Here is a 19,504-nt window from a genome sequence, read left to right as displayed (position 1 = left end):
ACTGCTTACTCTCACTTTAAACATGTCAGTACTGTACATTTCAAATGTCCCATTGGATTTGAAGCCAAGTGTTTTAGATAGGATTCATTCAGAGGGTGAGTGGGAAAGGGGAGGACCTTGCTAGCCATATTGCACAAAGAAAAGTGGAGAGGGAAGGGGTACAGGGTTGCAAAGGTGCAAGAAGAAAGGCCCAGGAGAGAAACCAGAGGTAAGGGTGGAACTAGATCCTCCAGGGGGAGGTGGTAGAGAGAAGGAAGGAAAGGATCTTCTCTAGCCAAGCAATTCTCTTAAGACAGAACAGACTCTGAGTGGGTAAATAGCCCCTGGTAGAGAAAAGCATTAAGCCAGGGACCCAGAGACATGGTGAACTCCATCACTTAGGTGGTTTTGTGACTTTGGCTGGGTTATGGAACCTCATCGAGTTTCCATGTCTTCATCTGCAAAATGTGGGCAGCAGGTCCTGCTCAGTCGCCACACTGTGGCTGGTATGATACGGCGGATCTAGCCCATGAAAGCTGTAGGCAGGTTCCAGGGCATGCCCAAGGGCAAGTTATTCTCACTGCCATGAGGAGGGAGGTCCCATCCTGGCCTTTATTCATTTTCCTTCTCAAGTATTTATGCAATTGCGTACCAACAAAAGGGACTTTGTGCACAGTAGCTTTTCTCACCGGTTTTGTTCCTCCCTTAGAAACCACATGGTTGTCAGGCAAAGGTTAAAGCTGACAGGGGGATCGTAACAGATGCCAGGGAACATCCATGAGGCGCTGAGCACTGGGGCTGCGCAGACTCTGATTTGTGCTCCTCCCACTGCAGAAACAATCTCACCCAACAGTCCTGCTGGAATCCTGTTCCCAATCATCAGGTTGGTCCACTCATGGATGGATTTAAAATGATCCTAGAGGCCTCCCGGGCCATCCAGGCTGACAAGCTGGTGTTGTCAGGCCACTGGGTGGAGGTTTGGGGGCTGGAGAGGAGGCTCGGGTGAAGTCTCGGGGACCCCAGTGTGTGGGGAGGCGGTGGTACCCTCAGCACCAGCCCTGCACCCAGAGTTACTTCCCACACTAGAGAAATAGACGCCGGAGTGCAGGTGTGCAGAGACTTGCCAAGCTATCCAAACAGTGCCAAACCTGTCTGCAAAAGACTCATCCAGGCCATTGGTTTAGATTTCACCACAGTTGGGAGTATGATTTCCTGTAGCCATGCGGGAAAGAGACCTGACTGGAAGCAGCCAGCTCCAGCCCCCAGCATGAATCCCAGTGATAAAGGGAGTGGCTACAGCCACACACGATCCTCCCAGGGTCACACAGCATTATTCATAATAGCCAAAAAGTGGACCCAATCCAAATGTCTATAAATTAATGAATGGACAAACAGAATAGGGTATGTCCATACAATGAAATATATATGTAGTTATAAAAAGGACTGAATTACTGATATGGGTTACAACATGGATGAACCTTGAATATGTATGAACCTTATAGTACGTAGATCATACTTTAATTTTTAGAAAGTACAAAAAGTAACAGTCTTATTAAAATTAACATCACTCTTAAACTTGATTGGGTAAATTAATTAATTAACCAGGCCATATCTCTCTTCCTCAAGACACAAAACAAATGCAAGCTTAGTTCACAATATCCTATGCAATGTAGTATGACTGATCTTAGACTTACTTATTGCAGAATCTGTTTAAAAAGAAGTCAGAATGTAACTAGCAAAAGTTACTTCATGTTAAAAGAAGATGGAAATAGCCTTCCAATGAGAGAAGATATGTTTTTGTTTTTTAACTAAAATCTGAGGATAATTTTTTAATTAAAAAACCCTCTGATTTTTGTGAAGTGACTGTTTTAGCCAGCTGAATAAATTACTTTCTTTTTCTTGTCCCCTCCACTCAAAATATGTTTCAGATATATTATAGTTAAGTCAATAAATAGTGAAACCAGATGAAAATATAGGCGTATGTCTGTCTTATCTCTGGATTGAGAAGATAATTCTCAACATTCACTCCCACAAGAAAGGAAAGGAAAGGAGACAGGGGAGGGGAAGAAAGAAAGGAAAGAAGGATGGAGAAAGAAAAAGAGAGGGAAAGGAAGAAAGGAAAGAAAAAAGAAAGAGAAAAAAGAAAGAATCAAGGAGAAAAAGGTTGACAAATTTAATTATATTAAAAATAGTTATCTGTATATCAGCATATATAATAAACAATTAAAAAGCAAAGCAAAAGCTTGGCTTATCATTTGCTAAGAATTTATAAAAGATAATATACTTAACTTATAATGAATTTAAATACAGCAATAAAAACTCTAGTATCCCAATGGTGAAATTAGAAATTTTGAATAGAAAAAACACAGGATAGAAAAGACATGTGATTAATTTGAAAATGTTGAAACTTCCTAGTAACAAAAACGCAAATTAAACTGACAACAAGAGACTATTTCTCATTTGTGAAATTAGTGAAGATTAAGAAAGAGATAATGCTTCCCTGTGGATTTCTCAGAGCCTTTATTTTCCCTGGAGGTATTTTAATTTTCTTTGAATAGTTCATGTGTATTGAGTTAATTCTCAAGTATATTATTTCCTTTTTGCTGCTATTACATGAACAGATTCTGGGCTCACACTGAGCTGGGTTAAAACCCAAGCTGTGTAATTCACTCTGTGTGTGTGTGTGTGTGTGTGTGTGTGTGTGTGTGTGTGTGTTGGGGGGGGCGGTGTGTGATGTTCAGTGTTACTTAATCTCTCTGAGGCTTAGTTTCCACACATATCTGCAAAATGGGGATCATTACAGTACCCATCTTACAGCAGTGTTGTATGGAAATTATATAGATAAAGCTTTAGGGGAGGTGTCTGCACATGATATACAATAAATGGTAGTTAATACAATGGCGCAGTGGCCAGGATGAGGCTCTTTCAATATCTTCCCATTCCTCTAAAATTAATACTTGTCACTAAGACTCTGATGCATTTTTGTTGCTTTTTATAATAATGTGATTATATACCTTGAATTTGGCAAAAATCAACAAAAATTTATTTAAGAAAATAGTTAAGTTCAGCAAGATTATAGGATGTTACCTATAAACGTAAAAATCAACAGCATTATTTAATGTTAGTAATGGAACAGAAACTCATTATCTTCCTCTATCATAACAGCTACAAAAATTAAATAGATGAGAATTACATAATTCAATAAACATAAGAGCCGTTCAAAATTATATAACCCTAATAGGAGAAATGAAGAAAGATTTAGATAAATGGAGAGAGAGAGAGAGAGAGCTCATGGTCTCCTAATTGGTAGATTAGAAATTCTATCCATGAAAATATTCTTTAATTTACTATCAATATTTAATGTAATTCCAATTAAAGTAGGGACATAACTGTGAGGAATTAAGTTAGATCTAATTAGTCCAATTTTTCTGAAGAAGGAGCCAGTGATCTGTAATGAGAATTACAAATCTTTTCATGCTCTAATATTTAAGTTACTAATGTGGAAATTGAGGATTAATCCTTTAATTTAGTTTTGGTGCGATGGCGTCATGAGGAACTAGTCACTTATGAATTCACTCAAATTTTAGTTAATTGAAACAAGAATTTACCTGGAAGAAATGGGGATCTCTTATGTTCAGTGTTATAATCGCTGGAGCACTCAGTGCATTAATTCTGTAACCCATTTTGCCTAGTGGTCTGCAGTCGACATGGATTGTGCAGCATCTGATGTCACCAGATGATACCAGTCGTGGGAACAAAAGTGGCTGAGCTCAGACCACTGCTCTGTCCCTAAGTGCTTGGTGCAGAGCTCAACTCTCCCTCTGGGATGCAGAACAGGGCGACTTATCTGGTAGCCCGGAATACCAGATGGCCTGGCCATGCCCCAAAGGAACAAAGGCAGCCAGTCCCGGTCCTAGCACAGTGCCCAGAGCTCAGAGGAATGTGTGACAGGCAAGGACCCTGGATTCCCTCATCGACTGTCATCCTTAGAGGAGCAAGATGCACTCTCTCCTTCTGGCCAGGAACCTTTCCTTCTGTAGCTTTTCTGCAATTAAACAAGTTCATGGAGAGGAGAGATTTTCCTACTCAGCCTGGTTCACTAAACGGAGTGCTTGAAAAAAGCTTGAAAAAATTTAAATAATTCTGAGCATCCACTCAACTTCCCATTCATATTTGCTGTTACTTAAGCAAAGCAATGCAGGCCCGAATTTCAGGGAAGACGGCTTTTGAGATAAACTGACTTCTTTCTGTTAACTAAATATTTCCTTACCATTTGCCTTCAGGTACTGATTTATTTACCTTAGAGTATAGCTTTTTAAATGCTGATCTTTTAATTGCCTCATGTAAATGATGTGAAATTCGGTTTACTCCTTTTATAACTCAGTAGACTTTATTTATGTCCTTTTTTATCTGATCTCGTTTAAAGTAATATAATGATTGTTATTGAAGACTTTAAAATATTCTGCCCTCAAAAAATTTTAATGAAGTTGAAGGCAAAAACATTTACACATGAGCACTTCAAACAATAAAGAAGATTTATATACATTCCACACACATACCTATAGATACACACATTCACCACCACCACACACCCACATATGTATATGTATATAAACAAAACAATGTGCTATAATTTACACAATTACTAGTGCAGACATGAAGAAAATGATAGATGCAATGTGGGAGTTAGTCTAGGAAATCCCTCCCTTCCTTCTTCCCTTCATTCCTTCCTTCCTTCCTCCCTCCCTTCCTTCCTTTCTTCCTTCCTCCCTCTTTCTTTCTTTCTTCTTTCTTTTTCTCTTTCTTTCTCTTTCTCTTTTTCTCTTTCTTTCTGTCTTTTTCTTTCTCTTTCTCTTTTTTCTCTCTCTCTTTTTCTTTCTCTCTCTCTCTTTCTCTCTTTCCTTCCTTTCTTTCTTTCTCTCTCTCTCTCTCTCTCTTTTCTTCACAGGGTCCTGCTCTGTTGCCCTGGCTGGAGCGCAGTGGCTTGCTCTTGGCTTATTGCAGCCTTGACCTCCTGGATTCTCTTGCCTCAGTCTCTCAAAGTGCTGGGATTGCAGGTGTGAGCCACTGTGCCTGGCCTAGAGTCAAGTTTTAAAGAGAATGATGAACATTATTTATTATACAACTTAAAAGACAGAAGATTGGGATGTCAGGTCTACATGTTACCACAAAAGATAAGAATAATACAAAAACAAAAGAAAAAACTAAAAAGACCGAAGATCATTCTATTTTCCTAGTTTGCATATTTATGAAATCTGAAGACTAAATACAGCCAACAGGGCCAGCCATGAGGTGCCTCCCTTCACACCAGTATTCTTGATTTGCTCCTCCACTTTTAAGGGGGTGGGAGGGCAGGAGGAGGAGCCTGTCAGGGAACCAGAGCGTCGCACTGGGTGGGAGGTTGCAGCTGTGGGGCTGAATGCTGCTGCTTACTAGCTGTGCGATTTGGGTTAGGCCATTTGTCCTTCCTGTGCTTAGCAGGGTACCTGGCACCAAGCAAGTGCCCCATAAACATGGGCTATCCCTTCTCCCTGCTATTGTCACCCATAGGCAGCTTCCACTTTGGCAAAAATGGGTCCCAGTTGCATCTTCCCACTTAAGCAAAAAGCTGAATGAGGGGATGTGAATTTGCTCGTAGGTAATCTGCTGCTCATGCCAGTGGTTTATTTCATGTTCTTTATAGGTGGAATATTTAGGGAGCTGCCTATGGGCTGATCCATTAACTAGGCTCTGACAGTCTGTACTAAGGAGATTAGCAGGAGTCACTAAATGATCCATAACCATTACACACACTAGGGGAAAACCTTGCACCCAGCACAAGGTCCCTCCACATTTCATGTGATGCTTAGTTGTGGGTTACCAGGCCACTGGGGGTCTCACTCACAGGGGATCCTTGTGCAGGCGATGTGGTGGAGGAAAGCTCTCAGGAGAAGGGGACGGGGACAAGCAGGAGGGGGCAGGGGAATGGGACCTCAGCAGGATGCCAACCTCAGCCTAAGCCTGCAGGGAGCTCTGGGGTTTGAACACAGATTTGGTCCTGCACTGGGGCGAGGGGACTGCACTTTTGCACCCCTGTGCTAGTCAGCCACGGGCTGTGGGCTGCCTTGCATCTCATAGGGGAGAATCTCCTGGGGAGGGAGGCCAGTTAGCAGCCACCACTCCTAACACGGTGGGGCACCAGCCCAGGCTTGAAGATCTGGTGGGGCCCCAAGCGCACTGCTACACTCACTACTCATATAGAGATACCTTCTGTTCTCTTCCTTGTGCATGTAAGACCATAAAACCAAGTAATTGAGAGCAAAATATTCTTGGCATTCTTGCTATTTTAAGAGCTCAACACGTTGTAAACAGTAACTCAGAAAAGCTGAACACCAAGGGACATTTGTACTTAACTGGCTTTTAAAAAATATAGGTTTTATGTGGACACGGGAAGGGGAACAACACATACCGGGTCCTGTTGGGGAGTCGGGAGTGAGGGGAGGAAACATAAAGGATGAGTCAATACGTTCAGCAAACCACCATGGCACACGTATACCTACGTAACAAACCTGCATGTTCTGCACGTGCATCCTGGAACTTAAAGTTAAAATATATATATATAACCTATATCTATCTATCTATATATAGATATAGGTTTTATTATGATTTTGTTTTGGCAAGACCAGCATATCAGGAGATGACTATCATTGAAAAGACGGTTTGTTACTCACAGATCCCAAGAGGAGGGCTTGCCACGTTGTCAGGGGCCACACAGGGAAGCACCAAGGTCTGTTAGAGGCAGAAGGTGAGGGGAAAACTGTGGGCGGGAGCTTTCACTGTGGTTTCCGTGGGGAGGAACATGTAGGGCAGGGTAATCCGGCTTAGGAGTGGGTGGTTTGAATAATTTCATTAGGCTCTGGAGCATAGGGGCTGCTGTGGTTTGAATGTCTGTGCCTCCTTCAAAATTCATGTTAAAACTTAATCCTCAGTGCAACAGTGTTAAGAGGTGGGGCCCTTAGGAGGGGAGAAGGCCATGAGGGACCTGCCCTTATGAATAGATTAGGGTCTTACCAAAGGGCTTGAGGAGGTGAGTTGGCCCTTTCTGTCCCTTCTGCTGCATGAGGACAGAGCATTCGTCCCCTCCAGAAGATGCAGCAACACCTGGAAGCAGAGAGCAGCCCTCACCAGACACTGAACCTGCTGGTGTCTTCTTCTTGGACTTCCTAGACTCCAGAACTGTTAAGAATAAATGCCTATTGTTTCTAAGTTACCCAGTCTGGGGCACTGAGGGACTAAGGAAGGGGCTGTCCCTGGTTGTCTGGTACCTGGCCCCGGGGTGATCAGGGCTGGTGGGTCATGGCCCGGAGGGTGGGAGCACATGAAAGAGGTGGCTGGGATGTGGGCTACAGAGTGGTTGGTTTGCCTTTGAAAGGCGTGCTTGAGGGTGAGTCTTTTTTACTATTTCCAAAAATTAGCCCTGGGAGGGACAGTGGGGAGCAAGAGGGAGGCAGTCTAGGGAGGTGGGGAGAGCCATCGGGATGCCACACAGGTCTTGTCTCTGTAAAGGAGAGTGGGGAGGAAGGAAGGTTGGGGACAGCATCCTAGATCACCATGCTGGCTTAGAAAGGTTGGCAAGGCCATCTGGGAGTCACAGAGCCAGCGATGACTATCAGAGGCCGCCTGCGTCCTTGGGAATGTGCTTGCCTTAGTATCCCCACTGGGCTCAGCCACTGGCTTAGAAATTTAGTGATGGATTAGAGAGCACAGCAGGTGGTGCCCTCGGCCAGTCACGTCCCCTTTAGTTGCAAATCTGCAGATACATTCTCACCACCACACAGTGTACGGATGAAATGCATTGAAATAGGTGAAGCCCTTGGAACACTGCCAGGTACATGGCGAACACTGTGTAAGATCTGCTATCATTATTATTATAATTGTTATTATTCATTGCTAGAAACATTATCTGTATGGTAGAACCAATACATGCATTTGTTTTTGTTTGTGTTTTGCTTTGTAGCTATCTCCTATAAGAAGGAGAATCCATGTATTTTAAAAGTCTATGTCTAGGGTGATATGAACTATTACTATTTAACTTTCCATATGTATTTATTGTATCTACTACAATAAACTTGCAGAATATAGCTCTTATATTTCTTTGTCCTCCCTGGAACACTTACTGTATATCCAAGCTCATTGTACCTGCTCAACGAATGTTTGCTAAATAAACGATGGGTTCAAATGTATCAGGGAAATTACACTGATATAATCTCAAGTACTTGACGGGCTTAACTTTATCTTTGAAATCAGTTCATAAAACAATCTCGGTCTACTCTTCCTATTCAGTCACACCTATTTATTTTCCCAATACTTTAAAATAAAAAGTTTCAAACAGAGTGAAATTGAAATAATTTTTCAGTGAACACTCACATACACACCACCAAGATTTTACCACTGACATTTTACAATATTTGTTTTATCCATATTTTTCCATCTCTACCTCCCTCTACGCATCCCTCAATCCATCTTACTTTTGGTGCATTTAAAAGAAAAACTTGGATGTCTGTACTTCCCACTAAATACTTCTAACATACATATCACTAACTAGAATTCAATTTTTTCAGGTTAAAAAATGTTAATGTAAAAATTTATGTTACGTTTTTAGACGAACGAAACTACTTCCAAGCACCAAGTACCAGACATCTCCTTGCTGAGAGCAGTTGGCAGCTTCACATTTCTAAGGTGAATTGGGTGCCCTGGGAGGGTGGAGTATCTACCCGGAGTGTGGCATGCTGGGGCATCTGTGTACTTCTAGAAGAGGCTGATGGTCATGGGTTGGGGTCTCCCAGAAGCAGACTTGGAGACAGAGTTTAGGGTACAAGAGACTTATTAAGGAGCGCCCGTGGGATCAGTGCCTGTGGAATGGGAAGGAAGCAGGAGTGGACACGGGGACATGGAGATGAGGTTCAGGATTCAGGATGAGTCAACCTTATAGGGGTGTCCCGAGGTGGGGTGAGATGGCTATGCCATTGTACCCCCACCAGCATCAGTCATCGCTGGATGTGGGTATCCCTGGGCATGGCATGACCCTTGCCTAGGCAGCCCCCTTCAGCCAAGGTACCCCTGCAGGGGCTGGTGGCAGCTATAGACTCCCCATGGTCAGCACTCCCAGCAGCCGGGCAACAAGTCCCTCCTTAAGGGGCATCTGGTGGTGCATCACAGTGTCCACCATGCTAATGATACTGCATTCATTTTAGCAACACATCATGTGGCAGTTGTTCATGCTTTATTCCACAGCAACAGGAAATTCCGGCCCAACCTCATTGAGAGTCCTGGAAACTGAATGACTGGCCTTGAGTAGGTTGTGATAAACATTTGCTGGTATGTTATGCACTGTGGGACATGACATTGGAAAGGGCTGAGGCTTGTGGCTGATGGTCATATTATTAAGGTATCCCTCATGTGGCAGGAAGATGCTACACCTGAGAGTGCAGGGGGTCTTCACCAAACTGCACAAGAATGAAGCATGAAAGAGAGGCCAAGAAAGGATTCTAAGGTCATGCCATGTAAGTAAAAGAAGATTTGAGGCCTGGCATAAAAGTTAATGAAAAGCTAGCTTGGCTTTAGAGAACTTGGTAAAAAAAAATGTGAAGCTAGTTAGAGAAACCAGCAGTCTCATGACCTCACACAGTCATCAGGATTGGCCTTGGCTAAAAAACAAATGGTTTCATAAAAATGATATTTTAAAATGCAAATTTCATCCTACTCTCCCTTCCTTTGGAAAATATGTCTTCCTGAGGTGGACTGCTATCATTTGGGTATCCCCCAAATCTTTTGATCACAATCCGTATTTTGATAGTGTCGTTCAGGATAATTTCTGTCTTTCCAACATACGATGCAAAAATAAGACAACAGAAACCTCATTTTCTGGCCTCCTTGCTGCTGGGATATGGCTACGTGATTTAGATTCTACCACGCAGATGGGCTCCCACAAGGCTTTGTTGGGAACTGAGTGATGCAGGGAATGAGACAGAGTCAGGGGCATCATTTTGTGGTCAGGGGCCATGGCAGAGCTGGAGTTGCTCTGAGCAGCAGCCCTGAGGGGGTCTCCCAATTCAGCAGCTTCCTGACCCCTTCCGTAGTGGCCAACCCCTTGGTGGGCTGATTCTGGTGGGCCATTCTGGGAGTCACTTGGGAAGCCCAGCCTAAACCCCACTGCTTGATCCATCCCTTGACTTTGGGAACTCTGTTCCTCAGTACCCCTCCCTGCCTAAACCAGCTAGAGGCGATTCTCTAGTATGCATCTAAAAACCCTGACCAATACATTTCCTATAGTCACAACAGTGGATTTTTGAACTTTTTAAGCCGGCACACTTTCATCAAACACAACAGCCTATAGAAGCCCAGTATACAACGTAGATGATATACAAAATTGTTCTTCCCACCCTCCTCACTCTAGAGCTCTCTGTTGCTCCTGTGAACTCACCCCTGGGAGAAAGCATAGTTATTACAGAGGGTCCTTCATATACTGGATTCAATCCATTTTTTTTTCTTTTTTTGGCTTCATCTCCTATCATGCCCCCAAAGTCCTACAAATTAATAAGTTAATCCAATTTGCAAGCACGCCATACAACTTTGGGTTTCCATAACTGCTCATCTTCTCTTCTGTCTTCCTGGGATGTCTGTCATGAGTAGATCTGCCAGGAAAATGCTCATGTACTCTTCAAGAACCCAATCAATCAGAACCTCCATGAACCTCTCACCCAAAGCGTCCCATCATATAGGTGGCAATTTCAGTAGCCTCTTAGCATTCATGAGCCTACTATTTCCAGAGGTAGCTATTATTCTCTGCTGAGGATCCCAGGTAATCTGCATGTTTGCTGAGGCACAAATTTGAATCATTAGTATATTAAACGTGGTGAAATGCCCTGGCTTTTCCTTTCCTTCCACCCACCCTATCAACCAGGGCTTCACATGAGCCAAACCAAGCCTAGCAGGAAGCCAGTTAGCAAAGGGAGCCTCAGACGACGTAGCCGGTTGGACCATCCCAATGATCATACAGAGCAGAACAAGCAAAAATGGACCTAGGATGGTGGAGGAAATGATCAGCTCTGCAGAACTTCCTAGGAGTCAGCAAGATCACAGGGAATGGGACACTCGGTTAGAATGCAACCAAGAGATGGCATATTTTATCATGTTCCATTCATAAGAAACATATTTTTTCTTTTCTTTTGGAGAGTACTAAGCTGTCTCTGTTAAGTCAAGGACAAATAAATCTATGCACCTACATAATGGTTTTCATATTAGAAGATAATGGAGATGAATGGAGGAATAGAATAAAAGGGCTACTGTGATGACAGGATGCCACAGCCACCATCAACGCAGGAAGTGAGTGATTCATTCCTGCTGCAGAAATCAGGCAGAAAGACAGGTGGCAGACTCAGCTGTCCGCACATATTCTCATAGTGTCTCTGTGATAAAAACCATTTCTGACACACACTTGACCTAACTTGTGGGCAGATTCAGCCCTCAGAAGGATCAGAAAGCTGTGGGTGGAGCTGCTATTCTCAACTTACTTCCGATTCACGGGGAGGAACTGATTGGGGAAGTGGAAGTGAGAGGCATTGTAAGAGGAAATTCTTATGTCATCCTTATGTTCACAAAAGCTAGGAATGGGAAACTCAGTTGTGCTGATAAATTTTGTGGTTTACAAACAGAGATTTCACAAAGTTTAAAGGTGAGTTGGAGTCTATAAAAAGTGCCCTCGTTCCCATCAAACAGAATGGGAAGTTCTTGAAAATGGGGTTCTGACACCACAAATAAGTCAGTAGCTAAGAGGGAGAGGTATCACAAGCAGGTGAGTCTGCACCTTTGCAATGAACTCACAGCTGGGCAGCATGCAAATATGGGTAAGGGCTCTAGAGGCTTAAGTGTACCCCAAACAGTGTGCTGGATCTGTGTGAATAATGCCTAGAAGCCTACAGCCCAGGAGAAGGGTATTTTACAAATAAAACAAAGCTAAATAAAACCATAAAATACCTTTTTAAAGGTACTTTTGGAACACAATGTGGTTGACTAGCAGCAAAAAAAAAAAAAAAGAAAAAAAGAAAAGCAAACCTACTAAAGTCCTTGACAATGGGAGCAATTAATTTACATCAGCTGAACACCTAAAGGCTGTAAGACAGGAAGAGGAGACCAGCATTAAAAAGCGGGACTGGATCCTGAAGTCAATTTGGCGGTCATAAGGGCGTACCTGGATCTTCTATAGGCATTTTCTTTTCCAATCTGGAGGACTCACTGCCACACTATGGTTATAAGTTAAATGCATGTGAGATTATTTGTGATCACCTTCAAGCACTCAGGAGAATTAAAGAGGGCTGGACAAAGCTGGTAGATAATGTTGGTCCTTGGCTTCAAAAACAGAGAAGGCAGTAGACTTCTCCAGCTATGAAGCTGTGGGCTCCAGGGCCATTTGAGAGATGATTGCTCTTGGAATTCTTTGCAAGATGGTGTATCTTAGCCAAAACGTGGTCAAGCCCAGGGTCCAGTTTGGGTTTCCCAAGACAAGCTATGTCAGTTTAGCCATATTCCTTATGTACTTCGCAGGGCTATTAGACTAGAAAATTAGAAAAAGGCGGGGTGTGGTGGCTCACGCCTGTAATCCCAGCACTTTGGGAGGCCGAGGCAGGCAGATCACCTGAGGTCAGGAGTTGGAGACCAGTCTGGCCAACATGGCGAGACCCCATCTCTACTAAAAATACAAAAATTAGCTAGGTATGGTAGCACATGCCTGTAATCCCAGCTACTCGGGAGTCTGAGGCAGGAGAATCACTTGAACCCAGGAGGCGGAGGTTGCAGTAAGCTTAGATTGCACCACTGTACTCCAGCCTGGGCAACAAGAGCGAAACTCTGTCTCAAAAAAAAAAAAAAAAACCCAAAACCAAACGAATAGAAAAACCACCACCACCACCACCAACAATAACAAAAATAAAATTAGAAAAAAACTGTTGCATGGATCTGAATTTCAAATAGGGAGTTGACAAATAATGACACCTTTTTAGCAAGAAAAAAATTTGTGCCTAAGAGGATGACAAGAAAATAGTTAAATGCCTGCACACAGGAGCCACAGTTGATGGATTGCCACCAAACAGGAGTAGGCCCCAAGATTCCCTCCGTGCCTGTCCTGCGCAGGATGTTTGCTAAGAAGTTAAACCAGGATAAGGATTGAACAGAGGTTAAGCTAATAGATGACTTAAAGCAGAGAGAATGACAAATCTTATAAATCAGTGTTTCCTAAACACCAGTCATTCATGTACTGCCTTCCCAATGCTTGCTGCCAACTATCAGACAGGATTGTGAATTTTCCTTAAATTTACTCTCTTTTCAACTTGAATCTATAGCAGAAGAAGCTAATGGATATGATGTGCTAATTACATCCTTGCTATGGCTCCATGACTATGAAAACAGGGAAGGGCCACCCCAGGGAATCACTAAGAGTGTGACTTTGAGCAGTTACTTAGTTACCCGTGCCTTAGTTTCCTCATCTGTAAAATGGGTATTGAATGAAATAGTTCATGAAAAAGCACTTCTTAGCACAATGTGTGTAATATAATAAATGATTAATAAATGCTAGCTATTCTCATAATTATTTATTATTAGAATTTTTTTAAAATCCTGGTTTACTAAGGTCAAGATAAAATGTATTCATGCAAATAGTCACTCACCTCCTTTTACAGAGTACATTGTTTAGAAATTAACAGCATACTAAATAAATGCATGCAAAGCACTTTGCAAGTTATTGTTAAAAATATTAACCATAATAATGCATATATTAGCATGAGCAACAAAGATTGACTATAAATCATACTTTTATGCTATAAACTGAATTCATAAGAATTGAAAAATGAAATAAAATTATCACAAAATGCTAATCTGAGTTCCAGCTAAAAATCTTCAGGGCTATACCTACAATCATTGTTGTAACATGCTTTGGAAAGATAGGACCAGATGAAATAATTAGGATACAAAATACAACTCAACTGGCTGAGACAACAGGCTCACAAATGAGAGTAGCAGAAATAAATGCAAAATCCTGTGAGTGGGGTTACAGAAAACATCGCTTGAGGGTGCACTGAGGCAAGGTGCAGCCTACTAGAAACACACGTGAGAGCATCTTTTGTTTGAAGCTCAGTGACAGAGTTGCCCAAATCCCTGATGAGCATTTGGGCTTATCCAAGGCAGTATCCGTATTGGTGGAAGTCCTATTCTGAGTGTCCTCAACCTTCAGTGAGAATGAAGGGCTCAGCTTAAGTGAGCACCTATGGTGGGATTTTGCAACACTGGATTGAGGTAAGGAAAGAACCCAGGAAGTGAGAGAACAGGAACCTGGCCACAAAAGGCCTAGCTGAAGGGCCTAGAAAAGTTTAGTTTAAGAGAGGACTGGGAAGGGGAGAGGAGTAGGGCAGGAGAGCTGTCTTCTGAAAGCGAGGCTCCATCTGCCTGGCTCAAGCTAAGAAAGACCTATCTAATGATCAGAGCTGCCCACACATGGCATGGACTGCTCTGGAGGCAGAGGGCCTCAGACCGCTGGGTGACCCTAGGACATCAACCAGGTAGCAGGGCTGTCAAGAAAGGTTTAGTCCTAGATCAGATTTCCTAGAGGCAGAGCCTGAAGTAGAGATTAACTACACAAGGCATATTGGGATGCACAAGGCATATAGGGAGGGTCTTGTATGGAAGTGAGGAAGGCAGGTAGGAAAGGAGAAAGAGCAGATCAAGCCAGTGGTTGCAGGGAAAGTCTAGCCTGGTCTCATCCCCAGGGATCTTGAGAGCATGACTCATACCCCACAGTTATCCCACTGGTGACAAGGCGGGCCATGCTGACTGTTATGCTTTGGTGCCAGTCAGTATGTCTGAGTGTGTCCTGGGTGAAGAGGTTCTCGTGGCCTCGAGCAGGCCTTGGAGAAGAGGGCCACTGAGAGCCATCACATTCAACTCCCACCATGGCTAGAGGAGGAGATCTGGGTGGATCAGCATCCCAACAGTGATATAAGAGGGTGGCCTTCGAATGCTCCTCTCCACATGGAAATGATCATCGGCGGGACCTAACCGAGTTTCTGTAACTAATGTCTTCAGTTCATTTTTCAAAAACTCTTCTAGACCATTTTCCTTCTCCTTAGCTCCTGTTGTGTCCCTGCCAGCCAGAACTCAGGAAAATCTCTCTTTTAGAGATTCTAAGAAGTTCCTGCAATGGTTACACAGTCCATGTCACACAGGGAGGATCCAGGTCTCAGGGGGCCTTAGATTCATTCTATTCTGGAAGCCCCCTTTAGGAGAAAGGATATGAAATTACTAATGCAAACTGCCCACAGGACTGGGAGGGATCTGGGCAAAAGAAGGGCCTTGAAGGACATGAGTGTCACTAGATACACCATAAATCTACACCTGCCTGCGTTAATTTTTGCCTTACCCACAGAATACTATACTATTATTTAAAAACAAATATACCTAACACCTTAAATAATAATAAGGATGATGAAATCACAATTTGATGTACTAGGTACATGTATTTTGAATAATCTTAAAATAAACCCCTAAGCCCAAAAAAGATGTTCCATCTAAAATTATCTCATGTTCACTCAAGGGCACAGGGGCCTCCCGCTGATAAGGCGTGGTAGCAAACTGCGTGGGAAGCTTCCTTCTCTGCCGTAGGCTTGTTCTTACAGGAAGGAAAGGGAAAGGCCATTGGGAGGGAGCCTAGATGAAGCTCCTGAAATAGGATCTCACTCAGGTCCAGCATGCAAATAACTTTTATACAATTAACTCAGCACATGTGCATACCAGTCCCTGGGGGGCCATAGAAGCAGGCAGAGCAGCTCTCTCGGCTTTCGGCTCGGAGGAGGCCAAGGTGCAACTTTCTTCGGTCGTCCTGAATCCGGGTTCATCCGACACCAGCTGCCTCCACCATGCTGCCGAAGTTCGACCCGAACGAGATCAAAGTCGTATACCTGAGGTGCACCGGAGGTGAAGTCGGTGCCACTTCTGCCCTGGCCCCCAAGATCGGCCCCCTGGGTCTGTCTCCAAAAAAGGTTGGTGATGACATTGCCAAGGCAATGGGTGACTGGAAGGGCCTGAGGATTACAGTGAAACTAACCATTCAGAACAGACAGGCCCAGATTGAGGTGGTGCCTTCTGCCTCTGCCATGATCATCAAAGCCCTCAAGGAACCACCAAGAGACAGAAAGAAACAGAAAAACATTAAACACAGTGGGAATATCACTTTTGATGAGATCGTCAACATTGCTCGACAGATGCGGCACCAATCCTTAGCCAGAGAACTCTCTGGAACCACTAAAGAGATCCTGGGGACTGCCCAGTCTGTGGGCTGTAATGTTGATGGCCGCCACCCTCATGACATCATAGATGACATCAACAGTGGTGCTGTAGAATGCCCAGCTAGTTAAGCACAAAGGAAAATATTTCAATAAAGGATCATTTGACAAAAAAAGAAAAAAAAAAAAGCAGGCAGAGCAGATGTTACCACCATTCACTCACTTGCTCAGAGAATGACAAACAGCCACGAAAGAGTAAGATGAGAACTTCATTCAGTCCCCAGATTCCAGGGCATGAACACTTTCACTACCTTCTGCTTCTTCAGCACGTTCACTGCCAGTTAGCTTTGACATTAAGGTGAGAAACTTCAGCAAGCAGCAATGTCTCCTTGCTATGGCTCTACGACTATTAAACCAGGGAAGGGCCATCCCAGGGAATCACTAAAGGCGTGACTTTGAGCAGTTACTTAGTTACTCTGTGCTTTAGTTTCCTCATCTGTAAAATGGGCATTGAATAAAAACAGTCCATGAAAAAGCACTTCTTAGCACAATGTGTGTAATATGACAAATGATTAATAAATGCTAGCTATTCTAGTGATTATTTATTATTAGAAATTATTAGAAATATATATTTTTAAAATCCTCATTTACTAAGTTGCTAGGCCAAAAAATATGTATTCATGCAAATAGTCACCTCTTTTTGCAGAGTACATTGTTCAGAAATTATAGCATACTAAATAAATGCATCCAAAGCACTTTGCAAGTTAAATTATTGTTAAAAATATTAACCATAATAATGCATATATTAGCATGAGCAACAAAAAGTGACCATAAATAATTAAAACTTTACTATGTTCATCCAAATAGATGTATTTGGTGCTTTAACATCTGAATTTGTAATTGTGTGTGGGTGTGTGTGTGTGTGTATTTTGCTCTCATTAGTGTAAATCAGTAAGAACCTATCCTGCCTAGAAGAATAGGTGTCATTAGCAGAGGTCTTACCAGTGCTGTAAGTAATTCTAATACCGGATGGAATGAAGACATTTGGAGGGGATCAGGGAAAGATGAGCAAGAGAGCATTTAAGATGAAATCAGGATATCTGTTTAGAATCTATTCGTGGCTTTTGGAGCTCCTTACTTCCTGAGTCTCTTCATACAGATAATGGGCTCTTCCATCTATTCTGTCGATCCACCCTCTGAAAATTCTTGCCGTTCTTTGGATTCATCTATACTAACTTCATTTATAAGCTCTGAGAAAACACAGGAAGGAAGCCCAATCAAAAGAAAGAGTGCTGCCACTCTCATTGTTCAGATGTAGGCATTTCTCACCCCACTGTCTCAGTCTTGAAGAGCTGGTCAACCTGTCCCAGACCAGTCCTGCACCATTTCTAGTCTGCAGGTCTCCCAGGAAGCTCAGACCTGTGAGCCACCTAGAAACAAATACATTTGGGTCCATCTTAAAGGCTGGAACACAGATCAGAATGGACTTCATGGGTCTGAAGATTCTGGAGACAAAAATATCTTCCAAAAAGTGGGAGGAGAATGAGCCACGTTTAACTCTGGTTTCACCTTTTCAGTTCTACCTTCTGCAGCCTAAGCACTGAAGATGGGTAAAACTTGGCCCACAATTCACTCAGCCATTCTTCTACTTAACAAACATGACTGAACATCTATAATGTCCCAGGCAGTCAATGTGAGATAACAGACATGTGAAAATGCAGCCCTTTGCACCCAGACACTACCAACAAGATCACTGCTAAAACAGATCTGTGACCAGTGCAATAGGAACAGAAAACGGAAAGTGCAAGTTCTTCTGAGGGAGGCCAGAAGGGTGTTGCAGAAAAAGTAGCCTCTGAGTTGAGCCTGAAAGGATGAGTAGGCAGACGAAGGGATTCCAGGCAGAGAGAGAGAGAGAGAGCAGCGTGAGGAATGGTCCCTAGAAGTGAGAAAGGAGCAAGTGCTTTGGAGAGCAACAAATCCAATACTGCCCACTATTGCTGGAGGCTCAAGTGTCCTGTGGAAGGGGAAGTGGGGCTGGACAGGGAAGATCAGATCATCCTTAGGCCATAGAGACAAATTGAGGTTTGATCCTATGGGGAATGATGGGGCCCCACTGAATACTTCTGAGTAGGAGAGTGACATTGTGGATGGCCAAGCAGGTAGGGGAATGATTGTACACATGTGAGATGAATGGAAAAGGGTGGGGCACATATGGGTGATCTATTTATGGGATACAGGATTTGAGTTTCTCTTAGGAAACTTGAGTGGATAGTGGTATAATTCACCAAAATAAGACATCTAGAAAGATAAAAGCTATGGTGGGAGAAAAATAAAATAGTTGAACTTTGGACCAGCTAAATTTGAGGAGCCTGTAGGTCTCCCAAGTGGAAATGACCAAAGGATAGTTGGATAGATGAGTATGGAGCTGAGACACACAGTCAGGGGTGGAGAAACAGAGTTAAAGCGGGCAGGATCACCAATGGATGAAACTCTTGGTAGAAAGCCAGACAGCTCGTTTAGATCAGCAGTATCAGTCTCACCTGCAGCAATGTTCTGCAGCCAGTTCACACCAGCTCACACCAGCTCACAAGAGCCAGTTACTAAATATGCAGCATATTCAGTAATTTCACATATTTACTAAATATGTGAAACCCTTGGTAGCTTGGTGGGAGTATTTATACCGCATGGAAGTCAGCAAATGCTGTAAATTAGGTCTGCTTGCTCCACAACCCATCCCAGAGCTGGCTACCAGCATATGGTGCAGAAGGAATTATAAATGCAAATTATCAGGCTCCAGTCCAGACCTATCGCATCAGAAACCCTGAGGGAGTTTTCACCAGCTCCCCAGGGGACTCAGATGGGAAAGTTAGAGAACCCCAGCTAACCACAGGAAGTACATGGTCCACACTGGCCCAGGAAGACTGGCCTGGCCTGGAACCTGGTGGAAACACACCTGAGGCTGGGCTGGCTCAGGGAGACCCCTGGCTTGCTCTTGGGGGACTCTAGACCACAGGACCCAGAAACAGACTGTTGACAATTGGCCAACATCTCTCCAAATCTGTGATAGAAGTAACATGCCCAGACCCCTCGCCCACACTTCTCGTATTTCCTAAATTATTATTTTTTGTCTGTGTTTTGAGGGGGTTTAAGGGAAATAGTGACAATTTAAGAGTCTGTAGTGCATTACTTTACTTTTTGGTGATACGTTACAATGTTAA

General features: G+C 43.2%; 1 protein-coding gene and 1 pseudogene across 11 annotated transcripts in view, besides 2 other annotated features; one reads left to right on the top strand and one right to left on the bottom strand.

The window, feature by feature from the left end:
* The window catches only part of RIN2 (Ras and Rab interactor 2), a 244,858-nt gene that overhangs the window by 162,593 nt on the left and 62,761 nt on the right, over window positions 1-19,504 (bottom strand). The window lies entirely within an intron of this gene.
* Window positions 984-1,485: an enhancer, noted in NCBI's record as "H3K4me1 hESC enhancer chr20:19819023-19819524 (GRCh37/hg19 assembly coordinates)". NCBI's record gives its function as "activates a minimal SCP1, AML or CMV promoter by ChIP-STARR-seq in naive H9 embryonic stem cells {active_cell/tissue: H9 hESC(naive)}" and the evidence as "EXISTENCE:reporter gene assay evidence [ECO:0000049][PMID:30033119]".
* Window positions 11,274-11,443: a silencer, noted in NCBI's record as "silent region_12706". NCBI's record gives its function as "represses an Ori minimal core promoter by ATAC-STARR-seq in GM12878 lymphoblastoid cells {active_cell/tissue: GM12878}" and the evidence as "EXISTENCE:reporter gene assay evidence [ECO:0000049][PMID:35858748]".
* Window positions 15,833-16,457, top strand: RPL12P12 (ribosomal protein L12 pseudogene 12; annotated as a pseudogene).

The sequence above is a fragment of the Homo sapiens genome, chromosome 20 (genome assembly GCF_000001405.40).
Source record: "Homo sapiens chromosome 20, GRCh38.p14 Primary Assembly".
Taxonomy (NCBI): domain Eukaryota; kingdom Metazoa; phylum Chordata; class Mammalia; order Primates; family Hominidae; genus Homo; species Homo sapiens.
This window is presented reverse-complemented; position numbering and strand designations above follow the sequence as displayed.